We start from the raw sequence: 25,934 nt of genomic DNA on the forward strand, positions 1-25,934 counted from the left end.
GAGACCTCCCATCTATGGGTTATGTTTGCAAGAAATAAGCAAACTTCATCTGACAAAATGGCAGTGATTCCTTCTGGATAAAACACTTCCCCCACTCACCTCCCCAATTTTTAAGTAAAATTGTAAAAATGTATAATAAATCATCATATGTCAAAGAATGAAGATATCCTGGGAGGGGTGTTCATTTGGCCCACTGAAGTAATCCATACAGGCCAATATAAAGCAGACGCTTGATATCTATCCAATCAATCTGATCATTCCAATATGTCAAAAAAGATAGATAATTCAGTCGGACAGTAAGCTCTAATCTACAATAATCAGAGAACTCAGCAATCATAGCTAAATAGTTACCTCACATTGAGTTGAGTATCCATGACCCAAATGCCATGCTGCCATGCACAGGAGGACCTGGCCTGAATGGCAGCACTCATGCTGTGGGACTAAGCAGTCCAAGCTTACCCTCCAGCTGACCTTTTTAGGGATGAATATAGAGAACAACTGAAGGGTAGGGGGGATGTTCAAAGGGTTATAGGATTTACTGAAACAATGAACATGAACCATAAAGATTATCTATCTATCTATCTATCTATCTATCTATCTATCTATCATCAATCTATCATCTCTCTATATACACACACGCAAGGCTCATTTTTTTTTTTTTTTTGAGACAGTCTCACTCTGTTGCCCAGGATGGAGTGCAGTGGTGCGATCTCAGCTCACTACAACCTCTGCCTCCCAGGGTCAAGCGATTCTCCTGCTTCAGCCTCCCCAGTAGCTGGGACTACAGGTATGTGCCACCATGCCCAACTAATTTTTGTATTTTTAGTAGAGATGGGGTTTCACCATGTTGGCCAGGATGGTCTTGAACTCCTGACCTCAGGTGATCCATCCACCTTGGCTCATTCTTTTTTGTACTTGCTAGGTACATGTTTGGTAGATTTTCATCCATTCATTCGGGAGCATTTAGCAATCATCCACTCTAAGCAAGACATTATGCTAGACACTGAGGATATAGGAACAAGACATGACCTACTCCCTTGAAGGGTCAACTGTCTAGTGAAGGGAGGAAACACAGCATTAACAAGTAAAAATGGTGCAACACACTGTCTAGCTATAAGGATCTTATGCACAAAATGCTACACGAACATAAAGGAAGGGCATGATTTGCACCAAGCAGAGGATCAGCACGGTAGGAAATGGAGTGAAGGGTGGAGAGAGAGGAAGGGTTAAGCAAGGTGTCACAAAGGACAAGGAAGATAATCTGAGTGAGGTTTTTAAAGGATAAGCAGAATGTTTTTGGTGAACAAGGCATTCTACGCAGCAGGAACAATATGAGAAAAGGCACAGAAATGAGAAAGCGCCACATGTTCTGGGGCTTGAGACAGGTTCTTCTCCCTAGAGGACTGTGTGATGGAGAGATTGGAGATGAGGCCAGGTGGACCAAAGCCAGTGGACTACATTTGAGATGAACCTCAAACACTTGATTCTGACAAAGTGCTTTATCTGGAACACTTTTGACTCTTCCTCTAGTTTTGGGATATTGTTTCAGATCCACTCTTAAAGAGTTTGTAAATGGAGTTGGCAATAGTCTGAGGCAGCAGTGAGAGGGGAGGGGTGAAAATGCAGTGAACATTCTTTCTGCGTGTTTCTATTTGGCAAGAAACCTTCTGTTTTCCTAATGGAAACTTTGACACACTCAGCCTGTATCTTTTCATCCATATCCAGCTCATCTTCTGAACATTCTTAGACCTTTATTCTGTCAGACAAGAAAAAAATAGGAAAGGTCACTAAAATCTCAGTCTAATTTAACTGTGATGCTTTCGTGGTAAACTACTTGAGGGAGTTCATTGCTTCATGTGAGTACACCACGAACCCTCAATGCGGGGGAGGAAAAGCAGCCTCATCAGTAAATATTAACTTTCCAAAGAGTTCAAGACTCTGGGGACTCCAGTTAGCTTGAAAGAAAGGAACAGATGGATGGAAAAAGACACAATCAATTCCTGACCACAAGTACCAAATGTAAGGATTCTAGAATTTTATCCATGGCAGCAGGGCCATCCCATTTTCAAGACTTCTTTTGGGTTTAAAAATGCTGATATTTATGATAGTTAATAAAAATGCTTTACGTCCCTAATCATCAGAGAAATGCAAAGTAAAACCACAATGAGACACCACCTTACCCCTGCAAGAATGGCCATAGTTTAAAAATAAAAAAAAAAAATAGATATTGACGTGGTGAAAAGGGAACACATTTACACTGCTAGTGGCAATGTAAACCAGTGCAATCACTATGGAAGACAGTATGGAGATTCCCTAAAAAACTAAAAGTAGAACTGCTATTTGATCCAGCAAACCCACTAGTAGGTATCTACCCAGAGGAAAAGAAGTCATTATATGAAAAAGACAGTTGCACACACATGTTTATAGCAGCACAAGTTGCAACTGCAAAAATATGGAACCAGCCTAAATGCCCATTAACCAGTGAGTGGGTAAAGAAAATGTGGTATATATACATCATGGAATACTACTCAGCCATAACAAGGAACGAAATAATGGCATTCTCAGCAACCTGGATGGAATTGGAGACCATTACTCTAAGAGAAGTAACTCAAGAATAGAAAACCAAATATCATATGTTCTCATTTATAAGTGGGAGCTAAGCTATGAGGATGCAAAGGCATAAGAATGATATGATAGACTCTGGGGACTTGGGGTGAAGGATGGAAGAGGGGTGAGGAATAAAAGACTACACATTAGGTACAATGTACACTGCTTGGGTGACAGGTGTACCAAAATCTCAGAAATTATCACTAAATAACTTATCCATGTAACAAAAAATTGCCTGTTCCCAAAAAACCTATTGAAATAAATAAACTAAAATAAAACATTAAAAAATGAACTCTGGAGGATCTAAACCTGGATTGGATCCTGCAGGTACTTCCAGATAGAAGTTGAGTTGTCTTTTGTTTCTTCCAACTCTAATTCAAGCATTGAAATTTAACATAATATTTTGTTCTACTTAAAGCTACCTAGAAGTTTTCCTAATGTAAAATTAAGGATAGTAATGCTAAATTATGCTCATGTGTCTAGGGAAGAAGGTAAATGAAAAATCTGAATCTTGACTCTTGGTCAATTTCCTCTTTCATTCTAAATCTTCCTCATTCCCTTCACGATGCTCTGCCTTGTTCTTGTCCCCATCCCTCTCAGAAGATGACTTCCCCTGTCCTTCAAGGAGAAAACAGAGGCTGTTATATGTTGAACTCATCAACTTCCTGTTGTTTCACCTGCCAGTTTTCCTGAATCTATTCAGATCCTTTTCATACCTTCATAGAGGAGCTATGTACCAAATACTCTTCAAGCTGAAGTGGTCTTCACACTTGGGCACTTAACATACTCCTGCTAATCTGCTGTAATAATCTTCTCCGTTAACTGTCCCATCCCGCCTATATCTCCACTTCTTCCCTTCAGTCTTTGAAAATGTCTAGTTCATTATCCTCTTAAAAATGAAAACGCAATAGTAAAAAAGCTCCTCCTTTTAGTTAGCTCTCCTAAACTCCTTCCCACCTCAGTAAAACTCTTTCAAAAAGTAGTTTTTCCTTGCCATGTCCATGTTCTGATTTCCAATTAATTTTTTAACCCTCTGAATTTTGCCTTCGATTCTCTCCACTTTATCATTACTGTTCTTGCTAAGGTTATCAATAGCTTCATGGTTGCCATATCCAATGGACACTTTTAATTCCTTTTTATTCTTCTTTTATGTTGTTATTACTATTGACCATTCAATTTCTTTTTAAAATGCTCACTTGATTAACTCCAATGATGCCACTATCCTGATTTTTTGCCTATTACTTAGATGGCTTATTTTCCCAACTGGTCTGAATTCCTCTCCCTTAGTAGGAAGATGGGTTCTGCCCTATTAAGTATTAACATTTGGCACTTATATGTCATTGAGGTCTTGGAAGGAAATGGACAAGACTGAATTAAGGTGCATTACAGTGGTGTTGCCTAGGGTAATATGCATCAAACACAGGTAGAGCAGTCCCTTAGGCTTTCCAGACCTGTCCTTGACCTGGGTAGAGCTGCTACAGGTAAAGGTTTACTTACCAGAAGGTGCCATTTGGATAAAGGGCTATCAAAAATTTCAGCTGACCACTTAAGGGCCTTTAATGGCCTCTAGGGAGGCGAAGTGCTTGGGTGCTGGCCTCTCCTATCTGGATATATATATGTATATGTATATCCATTTGGTACTTGTGGTCAGGAATCGAATGTGTCTTTTTCCATCCATCTGTTCCTTTCATATATATATATCCAGAAGAATAAAAGAGGGGCTGAAAATGATATATATATATGACTTATACATATAGCATATATAACATTATACACACACACACACACACACACACACACACACACACACACAGTGCGCACATGAGGAGGGAGCCCAGTGAACTGATCTTTCCCACCATTAACTTCTCACTCATAGGATAGTTGATCTTTACAGGGACCAACTTGCTAAACTAGCAGTCACAACATCAAGGTTGCCAAGACGTAGATCCTCCTCCCATAAACAAGGCATTGGTTTGGATTTGACGGCATCAGGCTGGCCTATGTTGGGGTTGGCCAGGAGCAGGAGGAGCTCAATAGGATTTTTAGTTGAAAGACTGAGACCATGACAAGGGGCAACATCAACCCTTCCCCTTTACTGAGCAAGCTGACTGGGAACAGAATTCAAACAGTCTGTCCAAATTAGGAGGGCTGGAAGCAGATAGATGTTGAAGTAAAGAGCCATGGAGATATTAACAGAAAGTAGTAGGTTGAGCAACGAAGTGTCCTTTAATTTATTCACAAAACATCTGGACACCTAGTATGTAACTGACTCTGTCAATATTCTAAAGATTAAGATGAAGGACACATTACAGCTCTTAAGTAGCTCCCAATCTTGTAGAGGAATGCAAACACACAAACAGTTGATTATGATGCAGTGTGCTAAGTTTAGGATGCAACTTAACATAGAGATCTAAGAAGGACATGGACTCTACATTCTCACATTCAGAGAAGGCTTACCACAGTAGATGATAATCATGGACTGATATTTCAGCAATGAGATAGGCACTGGTTAGCCAAATATCAAAGGATATTGGGAGGCACAAGTCATATAACCTATCTTCCTCTTAACCTAAGAGGACCAGCTCTGTTTAATGAGGCAGCAATTGGCAGATCATATTTTCCACAGGATCTCTCTTATCTACTTTTTCGTTAAGTGCTGGTAGTCTGAAATTTTTCTGCAAGCTCCTCTTTTCTTAGTCTACACCATCTCCCTCAGCAATCAAATCCATGGCCAAAACTTTAACTAGTATCCATAAAAGAATGATACTCAAACCTGTATCTTCTGCCCTTAGATATCTCTTAGACATCAGACCTGTATACCAAAATGATCAAAAACAGTCCAGCTGGATATCTCATTACTACCTGTACATGTTCATAACCAGACTCATGAACTCCTTCTCCAATCCTCCACATCATCTTCAATTTCCTAACTTGGAAAACTACCTACTCATGGAATCAGAAACTTAGAAGGAATCACCTTCAACTTCTCCCTCAACCTTACTCTTCACATTCAATTTGCTCCTAAATCTCATTGTTCCCACTTCCTAAATATTCCTTAAATCTGTGCTTTCTCTCCCGGTCCTTAGTTCCTTATCCTGCCTTTGTAATCTCTCATGTGGACCACTGCAACAGCCTCCTGGAGTCTCCTTGTCTCGGGCGTTAACCATCCCCAGTTCATAGTAGTATCCCAGAGTTATTGTGATGAACACAACTCTGATCATATCACTTTCCTGCTCAAAATTCTTCAGTGACTACCACACATTGAAAGGATCCAGTCTAAGTTATTTAAAGATACTTATCAATGCCCTTTGTGCACTGGCCTCTACTATGGTTTCAAGCCTCATCGCCACAGACAGCTTCTCTGTACTTAATGTATGTTCCAACAGTACTGGACTCTTTTGATTTCCATATAAAATAGAAATCTTTATATTTTCACACATCTGTTATATCTTCTTTCAATATTCTATCTCCTGTATCTGCCAGGTCAATTATTCCTCATTCAAAGATTTGTTATTCAATAATTATCTCCCCATTCCTTCTAGACAGAGTGCTACCCTGCTCTCTGACACAGTTGTTTCTTGTGATATTAGACTATGTATCATGCTGTGTTGCTATTTTTTTTCTTAAGCCCTCTCTCCTACTAGGCTGTGAGCTCCTTAACACAGCCCATGTTAGCTACTTAGTCAATATATATTTATTGAGCACTTACTTAGTCCCAGGCACTTTTCCCAGCTAATGATGCCACAACAACAACAAAAAAAAGAAAAAGTGGGGGATGAACTGATAGGGCTTACATTCCAGTTGGAAAGGACAGATAACTTGTAAACAAATAAAAAAGATGATTTAAAATACTCAGATAAATATCACAAAGGAAATAAAAAGGACAACATGGCAGGTGTATGTGGGGAGGATGTGGGGAGGGAGGGCAACAGTGCCACTTTTTGCTGGTTGGAAATGAAAGGCCGTGTCTTTTTAGTCTTTATATATCTACAGCAAGAATAGTACCTGGCATATGTTCGGTACTCAAATGTTTCTTAAATAAATTGAATTGAAAGGACTTATTTGGTGAAAAAAGTAATCTTTAATATGGTGTACATATTAATACCAGTGATCATTGGTGGTTGTTAGAATATAAATTTCATGTTAATATCTACATTCAATGCCAATAAATAATTTTGACATCTCCAATAAAAGGAATTGCACATTATGATGGAAAAACATACCAGTGCAGAAAGCATGAATGCTTCATGATGCCGCCTACATAGATTATGTAGACGTGCTGTGGAACATGATGTTGTGGATAGTTGTCTCTCTATATTCTACTCTGTGACCCAATTCTATATTTAAAAATAAATTTCGTAGGTTAGAAAAATCTCTGGTTAAAATCTATATATACTTGCGATTAGGATTTCAGAACGTTATAACACTAAAATATCAATTTTCTAGATTAAATGAAATTTTCAGTAATATCATCTTCTTTGCTAATCTGACTTGAATAGGAAAATTGGGATAGGTAATTTTTTGAAAGTAAACACCCTTGATCAAAAGTTTAGGTTATTACTCTGTTTACAAACCTTGAAGAAAAAGGATTAAATTCTAAAACAACTTTGGTGTAATAATATTTCTTTTGTGAGAATTATTATTACTATTATTATTTATACATTTATTTTAACTTGTTTATTGGATGCTTCTTCAATAGTCAGTGTGGTTAATACTTCGCAGGGATAATATTAACTAGTCCAATGACCCTAAGAAGCAAAATTGATTTTCTCCATTTAATAGATGAGGAAACCAAGGTTAGAGAATTCAGATGCCTTATCCTAGTCACACAGCTAGTATTTTTCCTATCTGTTGCTTCATCCTTTATTATAGTTAGCATTTTGGATGAGTAAACTCTAACTCTGATCATTTACACCAAATTTTTCTTATTCTTGGTTTAGTACACCATCAGGCACACAATGGGGAGATCAAACAAAATGAAAGCAATGATCAGTTATTTGTAGAAAAATATTTGTTGATGATGTTATTGCCTAGTCAGCTAATATAAAAATGTGTTTACTCACCTAAAGGCCCGAATGGTGGTGAGTCCTTCTGCTGTTTCTGAGAAGTGACAGAGCAGAGGGAGCTGGGTACTATCGTCAAGTTCCTGGAGGTCCCTAGTAGAGAGAGGGGCAAAAATAAACTTCATGTGCATCCAGACTCAAAGACTACCATGTTTATTCTTTAAGAGAAAGTTATTTTGTCACTGTATTTGTTTTCCTCATTGAAATTTTTTCCCCTAGCACTCAATTAACAAAAACTTCAACAGCTTACAATCTAAAGAGGAAGAGAAAGATGGGTATATAATGAATACAGGTAGAGGCTGAACATAATGTGTTGTACAAAACTATCATCTCTGTGTAACAGCCAAAGTAAACTGCTACAGGATTCAGTGGAATGAGCACTTAATTCATACCTAGGACATTGGTGGGATTTTCCTTAAGCGGGTAGAATTTAGGCGAGACCTTAAGCTTGATGAGGGCTTCTACAAAATAGACAAGAAGAAAAATAACAAGAACAAGCACCGGTGTCTGAAGAATCTTGCAAGTTCAATCTGTCTGGTGCCCAGAGTCCTTTAGGGCTGTTGTAGTAGGAAGAGGCTATGTAAAGGATATGGCCTTGTAAGGGTGACAGTGGATTGTAGAAACATCCTTAATGGGCTGAAAAAAATCGCTGAAGACTAGAAATAAGGTAATCTGGCCAGGTGCGGTGGCTCATACCTGTAATCCCAGCACTTTGAGAGGCTGAGGCAGGTGGACACTTGAAGCCAGGAGTTTGAGACCAGCCTGGCCAACATGGCATAACCCTGTCTCTACCAAAAAATTAGCCAGCCGTGGTGGTGCACACCAGTAATCCCAGCTACTCAGGAGGCTGAGGCAGGAGAATCACCTGAACCCAGGAGGCAGAGGTTGAAGTGAGCTAAGATCACTCCACCGCACTCCAGCCTGGGTGACAAAGCCTGACGCTGTCTCAAAAATAAAACAGAAAGAAGGTAATCAGAGCTGTCGTTTAATCCTTTAATCAACATAACTTGGGAGACAATGTACAGGATGAAAGAGAATGGGTGAGTGAGGAAGATCAGTTAATATAGTCCATATAAGAGGTTTTTAAAAAAATGTTCAGAATTAATGTGATGCTGGTCAAGTTTAAAATAGGAAGTAGGGGAATGTGGGACAGTCAGAAGAAGCCCTATTTGCTGTGATGATCAATTAGTTTTCACAGGGTAAACAAGAGTCACATATAGCTTGGCTATTTCTAGTTTAACAGACTTGAAAAGTGACAGTGCTGTTTACCAGAGTGGTGGTCAGGGGCACAGAAAGAAGACATTTGGAGGGAAAGGATAATGAGTTTAGTTTTGGACACAGTGAGTTTGAATCCTTGCCTTCATGGAACTTCCATTCACAGTTTCTCTAAGGAACCACATGTACATAAAACACAGACATATACTGAATGAATGGAAATGCTGAATCTGACCATTTTGATAAAGATATATTCATGACAACTTTTCTTTAAACCACATGAGCTAGAATTTATAGAAGATAGGCTAACAGTTATATCACATGTTTCAATGCATTCCATTTTTTACTTTTCAGACCTTTTTTCCTGCCCTTCTCTAGGTTTTTGGGGTTGAGAAGATTAGAGAAGTAGTGTTGGCATTCACCTGTGAGGGTCAACTGAACGGATGAACATGGTTCCATAATCTTCAACAATTAACTTATGCCATTCCTGGCTGCCAGTGTAGTCTAGTTCCCAAAACAAATGCAAGTCTTTTCAAAATGGAGTTTCTAAAATGGATTCCCTCATTCAGAATTTTCACATGGGGATTCGGGGAGAGAAAGATAGAAGGAAGTGGGAGAAGGAATATGAAGGAATGTGAATAGTCTGTTATTTTTAAACATAAAACCAAATGGCTATTTGTAAATCTGACACAAGCAACAGGTGGTCACTACATTGAGGTTTGGAGTGAAGGAAAAATACTGTGGAAGGAGGAAGCTTTGTTTATAAAACTGTGTTTGATAAAACCAAAGAGGTGAGGGCACAGCTTGATCTTGTATTCTTGCAAGAAGGAAACAGTTACTTACAAAGCTAAGCAAGCATTTGATCCATGATTTTAAATATTCATTTTTTCAGAGCATTTCCTGTAGCTAGTTTCCCACTTAAGTTCTCTTTAGTGTATACAAAAATGGCATGTTAAGCTGCCTGAGCTTTTCAACATGGATGAGTTCTAAAGAACCTCAACATCTAGAAGGATCCTTGTTTGTGAGGTTTAATATCATATGGTTATATTTGCTAACTTTCAGATAATTTCAAATAAGAATAGCGTACAATCCATTGTCAATATTAATTCTTTAAAATAACCATCCTCTCCATACTTTAGTCTCTAATAGATTATTCTGATGATGAACAGAATTCACAATTCAAATTTGTGATGGACTAGGAATATTTTCCCAAACTTTGCACTCCATTTGTATTGATAAAGGGCAATAATAGGACCAAATGAGTATGTGATTAAAGTAAGACATGACTGATATCAGTGTTGAGAAGGCAAGGACAGATTTGGAAACCATCAGCAGTGATGAAATAACTCTGAACATCTTTGCCCCACCAGCAAGTAGACCAGCAATAGTATCAGAAGAAAAGAAATGTGAAGTTGATTACTAGCTTCTCCATTTTGATCAGAATTTGCTGCAAGCAAAGACGATGAGTCTAGGGATGAAAAACAGACTAAATGTGGATCCCTGACATTTAAAGGATCCTAATTCATAGCTAAGAGGGAGAAACAACTATTTCTTCAAATTATGAAATGTTATATGATACATTCAGAGGTTCCCATCTACAATTCTTTTCTTCTTATCTCCTCCTACTTTCTTTCACCTTCCTTGCACTCAAGTCATATTAACATTTTCAATTTTCTGAATAAACTCAATACCTACCTTCTTATTCTAGCACTTATCCATGTATTAGGATTACTTTGTATATGTTTTATCTTCCTTAGAGACTATACATTTCTTGAGAACAGGCCCCTGACATATCAATCTCTTCACCTGTCATGTGGCTTAACACAGCTATTTGTGACACAATGAGTGCTTAGTATTTGTTGAAATAACAAACTTTACTATACTATATATAGCGGGGTTTCAAAGTTAAACTGGAAATTTTAAAACAGCTGGTATTATATTTCATTTATTCAACATCTCAGTAAATGACAAATCCTAAACGAATATTTTTTTTCCCATTTGTAGAGTATAATAATATTAAATCACTTACTCTTTGGGATTATGTTTCTGGTTTCCTTTTTTTTTTTTTTTTTTTTTTTTTTTTTGAGACAGAGTCTCACTCTGTCACCCAGGCTAGAGTGCAGTGGCGTGATCTCAGCTCACTGCAAGCTCTGCCTCCCGGGTTCAAGCGATTCTACTGCCTCAGCCTCCTGAGTAGCTGGGATTACAGGCGGGTGCCACCACGCCTGGCTAATTTTTGTATTTTTAGTAAAGACGGGGTTTCACCATGTTGGTCAGGCTGGTCTCGAACTCCTGACCTCACGATCCGCCCGCCTCAGACCCCCAAAGTGCTGGGATTACAGGCATGGGCCACCACGCCCGGCCTATGTTTGATTTTTTGTTTTCTATCAATGTCATGTTCAGAAAAAGGACCATGGAGTGAAAAATTTGTCAGTCTTAGAACTCAAAACTCAATAGATCAATCCACATGTTAATATATGTCCAGGACTAGGTAAGGCCCAGACAACCAATTATAGGTATAATTATAATATTAATTGATACCTAAATGAATCATAATGTCAGGATAGATTTCATTATGTTTCATATAGGTTGCATTTCTAAATTCCACATCTTATCTTGAAAAACACTACAGCAAATGTAGATCACAGTAAATCAAATACAATTGTCCCCATGGGGAAGTGATTCCAGGACCTCCCATGGATACCAAAATCTGCAGATGCTCAAGTCCGTTATATAAAATGGGTGGCATTTGCATATAACCTACATACATCATCCCATATACTTTAAATCATCTGTATGTTACTTATTCTACCTAATTCAATGGCAACACATCACACATCGCTTCATCAGTGTGTATTCAATGTAGTACTCGGCACATGACAAATTCAAGTTTTGTGTTTTGGAACTTCGTGGAATGTTTTCTTTCCAAATATTTTTGATCTGTTGTTGGCAGAACCCATGAATAGAGAGGGCTGACTGTAGATAAGCTTTTGAAAATGAGTGGGATGCTGTTTTACTTACTTAGAGGCAACCCGAAAGTATTTCTGGATAAAATAAAAGGCAACACCAAGGGGCAGGAGAGCAACCAGGAACACAGGAGTAGCATAAGAAATCATCCCAATGGCAGACAGGCAGAGCAGTGTTGAGCGAGTTAGAGATTCCAAGGTTGGAGGGATGTGCTATTAGGGTAGTTTAAAAGGAAAATATGATTAGCCCAGTGAAATATTGGCTGCAATGTAACAAAAATACCTATTTTTATGTTGATAGTTACACAGTTAACTACCAAAGTAGTGTATAAGCATGTTCATCCTAAGCAATTCTTCACTCACTTCCCATAGTTTATTATGTCTGTCTATTTATCTATCAACATGTCGTTGATTAGTTGTCTATCTACCTATTTACCTTGGGTGTTTTATGTAAATGACACTGTACTATAAATATTATTCATTCATGTGTTTGTTTACTGAGCAAGACAGACTGTAAATCTTCCCATGGCAGTGCATACAAATCTATTTCTTTTTAATGGTTGCATAGTATTAGCTTATTTAGCTATTCCTCTACTGTAATACATTTAAATTAATTTTCTGTAATTGCTTCCTCGTATCCTTTGGGCTTTTTTGAGTGAATTAATTTTTCCTTATTGATTTTTAGATGCTCTGTATATATTATGTTTATTTAAAAAATATTTGCAAATTTTTGTTCCCAGTTATCTATTGTATTTAAATTTACCTTTGGTGCTTTTAGCTCAATCACAATTTAAAGTTTTTTATAGTCATTTCTGTTGACTTGTGGGCTCAAAAGTAACCTATTTTCCTTATTGTTTCTGAGTTCTTTGTCTTACTGAGAAAGACCTTTCCCACCCCAAGATTCTAAAACTATTTTCCTACATTACTTTATAGCTTTATGTTTTAATATGACCACCTCTATGCTATATGCATTTGCTTTGTATTTTTTGGGTAGCTAATTATCCCAATATCCTTTATTGAAAAATTAATCCTTTCCTTATTAAGATGCCACATTTATACGTTAAATTTCTACATAAGATGGAGTTTTTGAATTCTCCATGCTGCTCTTTTGACCTACTTGTCTTTTGCAATTAACAGAGTGCTTGAATTTTGTAGTATTTAAAAAATATCTAATAGGGAAATTCTTTCTCTGTACAGGATTGTTATGACTTCTGGGATTGTTGAACATATTTTCTTCACATTAAGTTTATTTCTGTTTTTATAGGTTTTATTGTTATGAATGGAGTTTGTTTTTCACTATTTTCTTAAATTGGTATAGAGGAAGTTGCTGCTTTTCATATGATATATCTTATGTAGATACTCTGCTGACTTTTCTAATTGGTTATTTTACTAATTATTTTGAATTCTCTAAGTGACAATCATGTCATCTTCTAAATAATGAGTGATTCATTTCTTCTTTTCTAATGTGTATTCCTTAGAAAGGTTTTAGGTGCAGTCTGACCTAACACCAATGCCATGAAAACATCAAAACTTCTCATCATACTCTGCAGTCAGCTGCATGCATCAACCCTCTTTCTAATTGAGGGCCATTTCGGTATTCCGAATGCTACTCTGGAAAGTCAGAAAAGACAAGGGCTGGATATGATGAATTCCTTTCTCAGTCATCCAGAGGGTTCCACTTATAGAGTGATATAATTTCAGAGTTTGATGTCTTTTATTTCAAACAAACTTTTAGATTCCTAAGGATCTTAGGCTAAACTTGGCATTCCTGGAATTTTTCCTAAAGTATCACACCATCTGAAGCTTCAAGAACCAATCTAATAAAAGTAAAGGACTTTAAGACAGCTTGGCATCCCATCCTTCACTTCTGAGAGAAATTCTGCATGAATACTAAACTTTTAAGAACTTTATACTGTGAATGCTGATATGACTTTAATCAAAACAATTTTTTTATAATCAAAAATTTTAAATGTTCAATCATTCTTTACTTCATGATGGTTCTCCAAGTATCTTCTTCTACATGTACAAATTAGTCTGAGTTAAGATTTTCCTTTAAGATTTCATTCTAGATATCATTTGCATGTATTGATACAAATACAAATGGGCCTTTATTTAAATTTCAGAAATCCTCTATTGTTAATAGGAATTATACTTTATCTTAAAATGCTATTTAGCTTACATTGTGAAACTAATTTTTGAACTTGGAAGTAACCCAGTTACTCACCTGATCAATGATATTAGTATCAGCTGAAAAGCGATTGAGAATCAGTCCCAGGGGTGTGGTATCAAAAAACCTAGGCAATAAACAGATGGAAGTATATGATAATACTAAACTATTTGGAACCTGGGCATTGCTAATGGGCATCTTAGTGTCATGAAAATGAGAAGCTCCCTATTCATTTGCTCAAGGACTAAAGAAATTCTTCTAACTTTCACATTCCACTTAAATTGAAAAATGCATATTTTTATTATTTTATGTGTGGGAGTGAGAAATAACCACTGTTTTACCTTATTGGTCCAAGGATTATCTTATTGAGAAGGTTGTGGTGAAGATTTTTGGCAGCTGTGAGACCCATCCATTCTACAGTGAGGGATGTAACAAGGCAAAGGAAAATGCCTGCTCCACAGAGTATGCTAAAGCCAGCCACATAGTAGGTCTAAAAAGCAACCAACACAAAAAGCACATAGGAAATTATCAATGGAGTTCTTTCTTACTAGAAAACCAAATGTCAATGTCAGACAAGATTGTTTTCTTCATTATTTTGCATGCATTTAGACGGTTGAAGGAATGCAATTTTTTGAGGCCCAGGGTAGTATCCCCACCATAATTCCACAGGCCAAGCCTCCACCTGCTCCCTTCACTCTCCTTCAAGGCTTGCTTAAAAGCAGATGAAGAGAAAGAGTTTGTTTTCAGGTTTGGGGCATATTCTTGGCTTTCTATGTTGTAGAGCTCACTTTTCTCATTCCTAGTCTCAAAATGACCAGCTAATATACTGATGTAGGTAGTTAACATCAAATACCATAAGAACAAATACAAAAAGGTCCTCTGTGTGTATATATGTATAACATATATAAAAATATATGTATAAACTCTCTTGAATACAAGTCTAAACATTATATTTAAATATTTCTTATGATAAACTTTAAAAGTATTAATAATAGCTTCTATTTTAACATTTTTGATAGTTTATTCTATTTCAGGTCCTGTTGTAATTATTAACTTATTAAATTATCACAGAAGTCCTATGGCATTTGGGATATAAGCATCTAACTAGATAAGAAGGTATCACTGTTAATCTCAATATTTCCTTGATGATTTAAAAACAAAACCGAACCAATTGTACCTGATCAGCTTTTCCAGTATTGTTTATACTGTACTCCGATGTCCATGTGGCCAGCCAATAGTCTATAGCTACAATGACCGAATGCTTCAAAAGCTTAGAGAAAATCATCAGGATGAGCAGGAAGAATCCTCCAGATGTCAGGTAGCGCCAGCAGGTTTTCCATGGCATTTTAGTCCTGAGCCTCATTACAGTGGACATGTTATCATCCTCATCTTCCTCCTCTTCTTCCTCTACATACAAAAAACTTTTGTTTAAGCTTCAGATGGGCACCGGCTAGATATAATTTTTATTGCTCCACAAATAGTATATAAACATTCATACATTTATAAAAATGTAAGCATTAGTATTGAAGTTTTAAATGCTTTTAGTAGGGCAAACCTTATTTCTTTCTGAAAATAGGTGAAAAATGAATGAATGAATGAGTGATAAAACAAATGTAAAATCTACATCTGGATGAGACTATTTGCTGATTTACTGCACATCAAATTGACTGGAAGAAACTTACAAAGTTATTGAAGGAATTGTGTTGCCAACAAAAACCACATACCTGGCTTACAAACATCTACAATATTGTGACCTGCAAATTTCTGAATTTATAAAGCTGCACCAGGAGGGAGTAAGCTCTGAAATCTGTGCATAGCACAAGAGGGCATACTCCATGCTGTCTATGGCCCCAAGGAGGAAACTTCCAGTGGGCAAAGCCAGGGGACACAAAGGATAATGGGCTAGGAATTCCTCTCAGATGTTTAAACCATCTAGAAACTCCAAGATGGGCTTCCTTAAGAAGGACTCCACTGCTAAAGCAGGCTTTGCATTTCCTGACAATCAAAATTTGATCATTTCTATGGTCCAGTGACTGTGTTCCCATCTTTTGCTTTTCCAAAGGAACTTTATTCATTAAAGTTACCCTGTATGTACTTCATACTATACTATATACATATCAGGTTGTGGGGAGGAAGGACTTGTCTTTACTTTTTAGGTTATTAGACCACAGGGATCCAAATATGTTTATGATGAGAAGACTGAGCATCACCAAAGATCCTGATATTTGAGCTGGATGCAGTAAATGACTACGTCTCAGAGGTTCTCCCCTTTGGCAGGGGTATGTCCTTTGTGTGAGAAGAACAGACTAGAAATTCGCATGATCAAAGAGGTGGACACTTGCACTTTGCTAGCTGTCTCCCCAATACCCATTCTTTGCTTCTATATTAATTGAAATTTAAAGTTGTCCATGGCTGCCCAGCTAAAGACAGCATTTCCTCACATTCCTAGTACTTAATCTTTCCAAGCAATGAAAGAGCCAATAATAAGTAAACAGAAACAATACGTGCAACTCCAAGTCTCTTAAGACTTGAGTTGAGTCTCTTAAGACTCAACTCCTTTCTCTTAAGAGAAAGGAAGTACCCTCTACTTCTTTTCTTCCCCTACTGTTGGCTTGAGCATTCTGATAGGACCTGCAGCAACAAACTAATAAGTAATATGTACTGTAATTGGCTCTTCAACATACATTACTTCATTTACCCTGTAAGCAAAGTGCTATTACCTTATTTTATACCTGAGAATATGGATTAACACAGCAAGCCAAGGGCACAGTCAGCATCCCCACTGAAACACTGAACAGAATAATTGGGTACAACTCCACTCTTATAGCCCATTAGAAATAATTTATATAGAGTTCTAGAAGCTGATGTCTGTTTACAGCACCAAAAATTCTTTAAGAACATTTTTAATCATAGAAATTGAAAGTAAAATGTAGCCTTCATTCATTAATTCATTCGCTCAATGAATATTTGTTGAAATACAGAAATATAAAAGCACATTTTGGTGCTATTTGACTTGAAATGAACATTTTCTCTGTTTTTTTTAATTGGTTGGTAGAAATGCAGGCATAAGCAAAAATTACAATGGGAAATGAGGCATAAAGCATTTACTCTATTGACTTAAAAGGTGGTTTATCTCACAACATTCTTGGCAATGAATGTCAAAGCAGTGTAATTATTTCATCTCATTCCTCACATTTCCAGTCAATCTTTTTTTCCCAGTATACTTTATCAGATCTGGAAAACTGAAACATAACAAATGGCATTCTAATTTTCTTATCCTTCATGGCTATATTGTCATGAAAACCTCATGAAGATGAACTGAATGAATCAAATACAGCTACTTCAAAATGCCATATTTCCCCTTTATTACTTATTTCTGAAGGATTGAAATTTTCTTAAGCAGATTTGGTCATTATACTAGACAATTTCAATTTTTCTGAACACAACTCTAGATCTATTTAGAATCCACTGCCATTTCCTTTCAAGTCTTTCTCACACATAACAACTGTAGTAAGACATATTCTGTGGAGGCCCTCAAGATGACTGTTGATGGATTACATCCACCTTTCCTTGACTCCTATTGTTTCCATTTTCAGTATTACTTGATTTAATTTTTTCCCCTGGCAAAGTGGCTTATTATTCCTCATGGAGACACTCACACATAAAAAACCCTCGCATCCTGTTATCCCATTAGAATGTTCCAGATAAAAGAAAAAAGATCTACCTTCGTCTTCGTCCTCCATCTGGGCTTTGGCTTCTCTTGAATACATGGCCCGTCGGAGAGTTTTCCTCTCTAAAGTAGTTTGGTCAGCTTCCATATCCTGCAGTAAACATTGTACTATCATGCAAGGAGCTAACACCAATAGGTTGTGACTTATCAATGAATGACTCACACGTGTAAATGGTTAGTTACCTTTACCAATCTCAAGCGCTCTGTGCTCACTCTGGAGATCCACAACTCCTGTCACAGAAACAGCTGTGGGGGCAGAACCTTAGACTTGTAGTAAGTGCTGCAGTGCTCAAAGGTGTGGAGCAGCACACGAGACCAGGAAAAGCAAGAATGAGATGCAACTGACTCCAGAAGCAGGGTGATATCTCCCTGAGCCCTAAAGCATATTTCTACCATTGCTACTTATTTTTACATCACCTTCAGACTATCCTTGTAATTTTTCTAATTAAGGATTCATTCATGTTAATACATATCTTCCTTCAAAAGAGCACATGGTTCCAAGTTGGTTAAACTGATGTCAGTCATCCACTATTATGAATTATTAAATCAGAACGAGTTTCTTTAGCATCTCACTAAGGGAGCTGCACAAAAGAAAGGGAATTCAATAGGATCTGAAAGAAGGTAGAGAACGTTGAAGAAAATAGGCAATGAGGATTCTAGGTGCCTAGCAGTGTAAGAGAAAGCCCTAGGAGGAGAAAATATGCAGAAAGAGAAGGGAAACGTGCCAAAAACAAACTTTGCAGATTTTTAAGAATTGCTGTGAACTTTATCCTGTAGTTAAGAAGGGTAGAATCATTTCATTTTCTCCATGCCCTGCTTCCAACACACCAGCTCCCCTGACCTCAGGACTGCAGTAGTAGTATCAGTTCAGTTACATTGTGGGTTAAATCAGGTTCTACCGGCTATTCTGGAAAACCAACCATTTCCCCTTTTCTGTGGGGAAATGTATTCTGAATTCTAAACAACTAACCCACACATTTTGGAATCTATGGTAAATTGGGAGCTTCCTGTATATGCCAATACAAAGAAAAAAAAACCTACACAGTTTTTCTGTTACATCAAAAAACCAATAAACCTTTTGTGATTAGTCGCTAGGTAGTGACCTTGGTTGATTTTTTTTGGCCTCATACAACATGTCTGATTTAGGAAACTTTCTATTCTAGAGGGTTGTACTACTTCAGATTCTTGGTTAAAAGAGTGAAAACAAAAATGTCTCCTGAATCCCATTTTTACAGAGAGTTTGACCCCAGTTTTAAATTTTGCATAACGATATGAAGACCAACATTTATAAATGAAGCTAAATTAAACTCAAAATTAAAGAGGATCCCTGTCTTGTGCATATCATATAATGAAATAAAATAAACCTTCATAATGAAAAGTAGATTTGATTCCAGTTCGATTCCCCATGCTGTGACCAAAAGGTTTAAGACCTTGGAGACTTAAAAAAACAAATAAACAAACAAAAAAACCCAAACAAACTTTAAAGCAATTTTTCCTAAGAGTAAATGCTCATATTAAGCTCATTATAGGTTAAATGTTTTAAATAGTGATGATGCTTGGACTAAGTAAATAAAAATTTAGTTTCATTTATCCAATAAATATTCACTGGGCCAGGCCAGGTGAGGACAGTAGAGAGGGAAGTGAGGAGTGTTAAATAATACCAGTTTATTCTGCTTAACAGCATTAAGAAGATAATGGTTCATGTCATTTAAGCTAATATTTAAATCAGCTAAAAGTGTTAACTCCCTCTCCTTTGTAGTTTTCATTACTATCTATCATATTCTTTCCTGTTTACCCCTTGATCCTTAAACTGACAGCTCTTTTTCAAGCACTGCATTAGGAAATTTTGTGCATCCTTCGGTTTCACCTTCCTTCTCCACTTGCTTGATCTGTTCTGGCTCTAGGCCAGACTTTCTCAGCCTTGACACAGTTGACATTTGAGCTGGACAACGCACTGTTGCAGGGTCTGCCCTGAGCATTGCAGAATGTTGAGCACACTAGATGCTAATAGCATCCCCCTGCCCCAGTTTGTGACAACAAAAATGTCTCCAAATGTTGCCAAATGTCCTCTAGGAGGGAAAATTGGCCCAGGTTGATAGGAAACACCCTGTCCTGTCCCATAACAAAGTAAACCGAAATCTGTTTGTACAAAAACTTCCCCAAGGTATCGTAGTGGTCTTGTTCACAGTGTGATTCTGGCTGCAGATGAATTCAGGTGCCTGCCTTTTGTTACATGGCAGTAATCTCCCTCCATCCTGAGATAAGGATTCTGGGCAGGTGCGTGATTCATTCTGGCTTCTACTGGCTGCCATTCTACCTTGTAACTGGATTTACCCTGTCCATACCCTAACTTGCTCCACACCTCCTTCAGTTCATACATAACCCTGTAATGTGTCTTTAATTATACAGCTATGCTATCTCAAGTGATCACTTCATTTCTAAATACAACTTAATGGACTTTCTTCCTGGCTTGCTTAACAGTGTTACTATAATATTGAGCCAACAGCTCTCTTTATTTTCTAGTTCTTCTTTCCAAAGTAAACCATAAATTGTCCCAATCCTTAAGTTTACGTCATCTTCTTTTGTCCCTGGCATTTAGATCACTGAAAAAAATGTCATTTGGAGTTATCCCCGGTACGTTTAGAATCAAGCTTCCCACAGCACAATTCCTAAGCAGGCACTTGTCAACTGTACCTGATACTGTTTTGGGGTTTGTTGTTTGTTTATTGCTTTTTTTGCCAAATATCCTCATTTCAATGGTTCTGTGATTTGTCCTATTCTGCTTGTATATTTTTGCATATATCTTTTCTTCTTTGTGTGGTTTGCTTTTGAGATCTTTAGCAAATCCAAAGAAGGTAGAGAAATCCTAGGGTTTATCTGACTTTGTATCTTCCTCTCTCTATGGAGACAGATCCTTTATTTTCTTTTCTAAAATAATATATTTAAATTTCCTAATATTTTAAAGAAATTCACTGGTACAAATATTTCATTTTGTAAATGCTCATTCCTGGATAAGAATACCAAGTGCTGGACACTTTGTACTCCCAACTCAAGAACAAAACATTTCAAAAATTTGCAAATTTAATTTACAATTTCACTTGTCTATCAGAGTTTTTCCTCTTTTGTTGTACTCAATCTGGTATCCAACTCTGTGATGACCTCATTCAATGTTATACTTACATCACCCATAACATTATAGTGTAATTACACCGGATATGCACTTGTGTTTAAATCCCATTGGTACCACTTATTATATATGCTGTACAACTTTAGGTAAGTTACTTAACTTCTCTGAGCCTCAGCTTTCTCATCTGTCTAAGTAAGATAATATTTCTTTGCTTATTTGTCAGGAGTTTGTGAGAATTAAAACACATCATGTAAAAAGGGCTTTGTGGACTTCAAAAAAAGTACAAATGTAAAATTTTATTTTTATTTCCTTCTGATTACCTTCTTTCACCCCAGAAGCCTTATCCCAGATATGCCTTACAACTTTGCCCACTACTCAGAGCTCTTCCTTCAAGATCACCTTGGCTTTTGACTTTCCAATGACCCTCTATTTGTAGGTGGTTAGTGAAAATATTCTACTTTTATAGATGAGAAAAATGAGGTATAAATAAGAAAAAATAAGGAAACGCCATGCTTCAGTTAAGTAGTTTCTGTAAGTTTTAAACACACATATAATTGCACTATGGTTGAAATGTAAACAAACAGCCTCTAAAAACCTGACTGCACCTCATCCAAAGATGGCATTAGAATTTTATAGGTTCAAAGTACCCTGTTCATTAATAATATGCAAAGATACAATTGCTTTGGATTTCAGATAAAGACCATTATATTACAAAGTATTAAATGGTAATTTTTTAAAAAGCATTCTTAGTAATTAGTAAATTTCTAACTCTTCTGAATTGGGCTCTGAACTCTTCTGAACTATGAGCACTTACCTTTTCTAATTCTTGATCTTGCCGATTCATAAGTGTTTTCCAGTGTTCATAAAGCTCAACATCTTTGGTTTGAATGTCCTTCAAAGTTCCTTCTCTTAGGACACTTCCATCTTTCATGGCTATGATCTAAGGAAAGCGGATATTCCCAGAAATGTGACGAAAAGCCTTGATTGGCAAAATGAACTACCTTTATTTCAGAAAGCATTTTTTACTGTCTCTATTTATATGACTATAATATAAAAATGAGCAAAATTCTCTTCTAAACTCTTACCCAGTCAGCATGCGTCAGATACTGTAATTTGTGAGTCACAAGAACGAGTGTCCTTTTGTCATCTTGCAGGAATTTCAAAATCCCCTCCTGCATTAAATGATCACTCAAGTGAATGTCCAGGGCTGAGAATGGATCATCCTGCAATCAGTAAAATGGAGGAAAGATGGACGTTTTCTATACTTGTTACATAACTCAATTCCTCTCGAAAATAGTAATACAAATAACTAAGGGCAAATCATCCCCCAAATCTAATTTATTTAAAAAAAGGATAAAGAAAAACTACCTGTCAGGTACCATGATTATTACCTGGGTGACAAAATAATCTGTACACCAAACCCCCATGACACACAATTTATATAAAAAGCCTGCACATGTACCTCTTAACCTAAAATAAAAATTAAAGAAAATAAAATAAAAAAGGGCCAGGAGAAAAACAAACAATGAAATAAAGTTAGAAGTGCCTGCAGGCAAAAAGAAAAACAAACTTTGTAAAATTATTTTAAAAGTAAATAACACTATTCAAAATGTTTTGAATTCTTACAGAATCAGCAAGTTCAAAAACCGTATTACTCAGCAATCTATAATAATAGAGCAAAACAAAGAATGAAAAAGATAATTGTACTTGAATTCTAGATAACAAAACTAGGTATAGAAAATGTTAATTGGGCCAGGCATGGTGGCTCACGTCTGTAATCCCAGCATTTTGGGAGGCCAAGGCAGGCAGATCACCTGAGGTCAGGAGTTCGAGACCAGCCTGGCCAACATGGTGAAGCCCTGTCCTACTAAAAACACAAAAATTAGCTGGGCATGGTGTCGTGGGCTTGTAATCCCAGCTACTTGGGAGGTTGAGACCGGAGAATCGCCTGAACCCAGGAGGAAGAGGTTCCTGGAGGAGGAAGAGGCAGTGAGCCGAGATTGCGCCACTGCACTCCAGCCTGGTGACAGAACGAGACTCTGTCAAAAAAGAAAGAAAAAAGAAAATGTTAACTGGATCATAACAGGACTTACTTAATGGGGATATTTTCAGAATTAAATGAGTTAATATACATGAAGTGCTTAGTATGGTAGTGGGTATATAATTTACATTGTTAGCTATTATTATTATTATTATATATAAGAATAGCATGCCTAACACTTCCTGATGACAGTTGTTCTAGGGAGAATGTTTTTATCCACCAAGTGATTAAGATATTTAGAAAATAATTTAAGAACTCACATTAATTGTCTTTTTTTGTTGATGATATCACTATAAATTATTTTCATATATATTTCATACCTAAAATGTTATATAGAGCATCAAACTACATGTTTCACATTTTGGATCTTAAAAATAGGAGAGCTAGAAACAACTGAAGAAAACTGGAATGTATCCTCAAACTATGAGTTAGAAAGCAAAGTGACCTGAAGGGAGGAGGTGCAGCAGGAATATAATCACTCCTTAGAAGGACCAGGGATGGCAGGGAATGAAAGAAACTGAGGGAGCACTGAAGGGACAAAGCAGTAAAAAATGGTGGATGTTTCAGGTAAAAACTGGGAAGAGTTAATGGAACAGTGGGAAAAAAAGTTTATAAAGGTCTTCTTCATTACCCTTCTTTCTTTGTTGCTTCTCCAATAGGTAATATGCAAACAAACTTCTACTTTGTCTTATGGGCCCAAGAAAGAAGGAGCTGGTTTCTCATGCTACTACACACAGGCTACATGTTGAGATATCTAAAAATAACAATTCTGCAAAATTTTCAGTTGAGCACAGTCATAGTCTCTCTACAGATAGATTGCATTGCTTAATAATCTGAATAATGAACAAAACAAAAGTAATTGCTATTTAGAGAGAAACTGAAGTTTGGAAGTTAGAATAAATTTATGTATAATCATTATAGATTGTCATATGATTAGCTCAGTAATTTTTCAACTTTCCATCTATTTGTCTGCATAGATAGAAACTATAAGAAATTTGACCTTATTAAAGCATTTAGGAGAATCCTTATGCAAAAGAAATATTAACAAAGCATTTTGATAGTTAAAGGGTAATTAAGAATTATAGGAGCCTTTAAAAAATCAGTCTGCTGGATATTGTAATTGTGAATAAATGGATGATATAATCAGTGTCCTCAAATGACTTTTATAGAAATAGACACAATTATCTTGATTGTCCTGAAATTTCTTTGGATGACAAGGGAAATATTTCAAATCTTTCAGACCCTCTGGATCATCTTAATGCACATCAATTATTTCTGAGATGTTGCAATAAGTACTGTGTATAGGAATTGGCTTTCAACTGCCCAGTGAGTTGCTTTTCAAAATCATCACAGACACTAGCTCCTTGTCATTTAGCTCCTTTTAATAACAAGAAAAAAATATTCTTACTTGAATTTTAAAATTATTAGATTTTGATAACTGGTAGAGAATTCTACCACTAATATATGAAATTTCTTTTAACATAGAAGTTATAATGTAACTTTGCAGTTACTTAAAAATGAAAGTCAAAGAACCAATATAAAGTGATATCTCCACAGCAATGGAAAAATATCAGGATTACACTGACAAAAGTGTCTCCATTTCCATCACCAACAATGCAGCAAGGATATAATTATCAAGATTTAGCAAATCTTGATATCAGCAAATTATTGGTTTTAGAAAAGCAGATGATTTTCACAGGGGGAATCTGATTGCCTTTGAAATAACTTTCTGCTTCTGATTCCATTAAAACCCCAAGAATAATTTGTGACGTAGACCAAACTATCCCAAATGATTCTTCCTGGGAATTTTTCACAGAAAAAATAAGACATGAATTGAAAATAAATTTTTATAATAATTCAATTTGACTGTCCATAAAATTCTGATATTTATTTATTTATTTATTTATTTATTTTGAGATGGAGTCTCACTCTGTCGCCCAGGCTGGAGTGCAATGGCATGATCTCAGCTCACTGCAACCTCTGCCTCCTGGGTTCAAGCAATTCTTCTGCCTCAGCCTCCCAACTTACTGGGATTACAGGCACACGCCACCACGCCCCGCTAATTTTTTTGTATTTTCAGTAGAGATGGGGTTTCACCATGTTGGTCAGGCTGGTTTCATACTCCTGATCTCAACTGGTCTGCCTGCCTCAGCCTCCCAAAGTGCTAGGATTACAGGTGTGAGCCACCGCACCCAGCCTAAATTCTGATTTTACATGTTAGAAGTTAGTAAGGCATAATTGAAAGTCCATTATCTCTAAATTAAAAGGTCCAAATTGTAGTTATGACCACTCTTGGAGGCTGGCCAATGTTTCAAACTCAGTCACTTAATTTGTAAAATGGGGATAATAAAGAGGCCTGAGAGAAAGCACCTTGGATTGCTGCAAAGATGCAACAAAATAATGTAGTCAAAGTCTGTAAATCATTTCAAAAGTGTTGCTTTATTATTATTTTCTTATAAATAAAGCCATGGTGGATTAATATTGTGCTTACCCCTTCAATGTATCACAGTGAGACTTTAGCATCTTCCAAGCATCTCTTAATAAGGAAGAGTGTGGTGACTAAGAACACAAGCTCTGGAATCCAGCCATCTGACTTTCTATCCCTGCTTCACTGTTACTATCTGTGTGATGTTGGATAAGTTATCCCCAAAAGCCTCAGTACGTTCATCTGTGAACAGCAGTAATAACAATAATAATAGTAATAACAACAATAATGTCAAACCTAGGAGAGTTATTATGAGAATTAAGTGAGCTAATGTGTATAAAGTACTTAGAATCATGCCTAGGTCACAGAACTATCATTTATATGCCATAGCTTCATGGTGGGGATTTGTGATTTTTTTTGTCAAATATAACCTTTTCTACAACTTACTAAAAATTGAGGCTTAATGGCTTGAGAAACATGTCTCCAGATTCAATGTATATAATAAGATTATGGGGAAATATTTCCTTTAAAGAAAGCAAGACAATTGCCAAACGGCCAATTCAATGAATGGTCAATTCTTTGTTTACAAGCTT

At 36.6% G+C, this 25,934-nt stretch overlaps 1 protein-coding gene across 8 annotated transcripts in view; it reads right to left on the reverse strand.

Moving 5' to 3' along the window:
- ABCC9 (ATP binding cassette subfamily C member 9) overlaps positions 1-25,934 on the reverse strand; it is a 144,038-nt gene that overhangs the window by 33,019 nt on the left and 85,085 nt on the right. For all 8 annotated transcript variants that reach the window (XM_005253288.5, NM_001377274.1, XM_005253290.5 and 5 more), the window contains 8 exons: positions 21,961-22,098; positions 21,690-21,815; positions 17,743-17,839; positions 15,196-15,425; positions 14,360-14,508; positions 14,076-14,145; positions 11,907-12,064; positions 7,671-7,763 (listed from right to left, as the gene is read on the reverse strand). In XM_005253288.5, the coding sequence (XP_005253345.1) occupies positions 7,671-7,763; positions 11,907-12,064; positions 14,076-14,145; positions 14,360-14,508; positions 15,196-15,425; positions 17,743-17,839; positions 21,690-21,815; positions 21,961-22,098 (1,061 nt within the window). The remainder of the gene's footprint in view (positions 1-7,670; positions 7,764-11,906; positions 12,065-14,075; positions 14,146-14,359; positions 14,509-15,195; positions 15,426-17,742; positions 17,840-21,689; positions 21,816-21,960; positions 22,099-25,934) is intronic.

This window comes from Homo sapiens, chromosome 12 (assembly GCF_000001405.40).
Source record: "Homo sapiens chromosome 12, GRCh38.p14 Primary Assembly".
NCBI classification, from domain to species: Eukaryota; Metazoa; Chordata; class Mammalia; order Primates; family Hominidae; genus Homo; species Homo sapiens.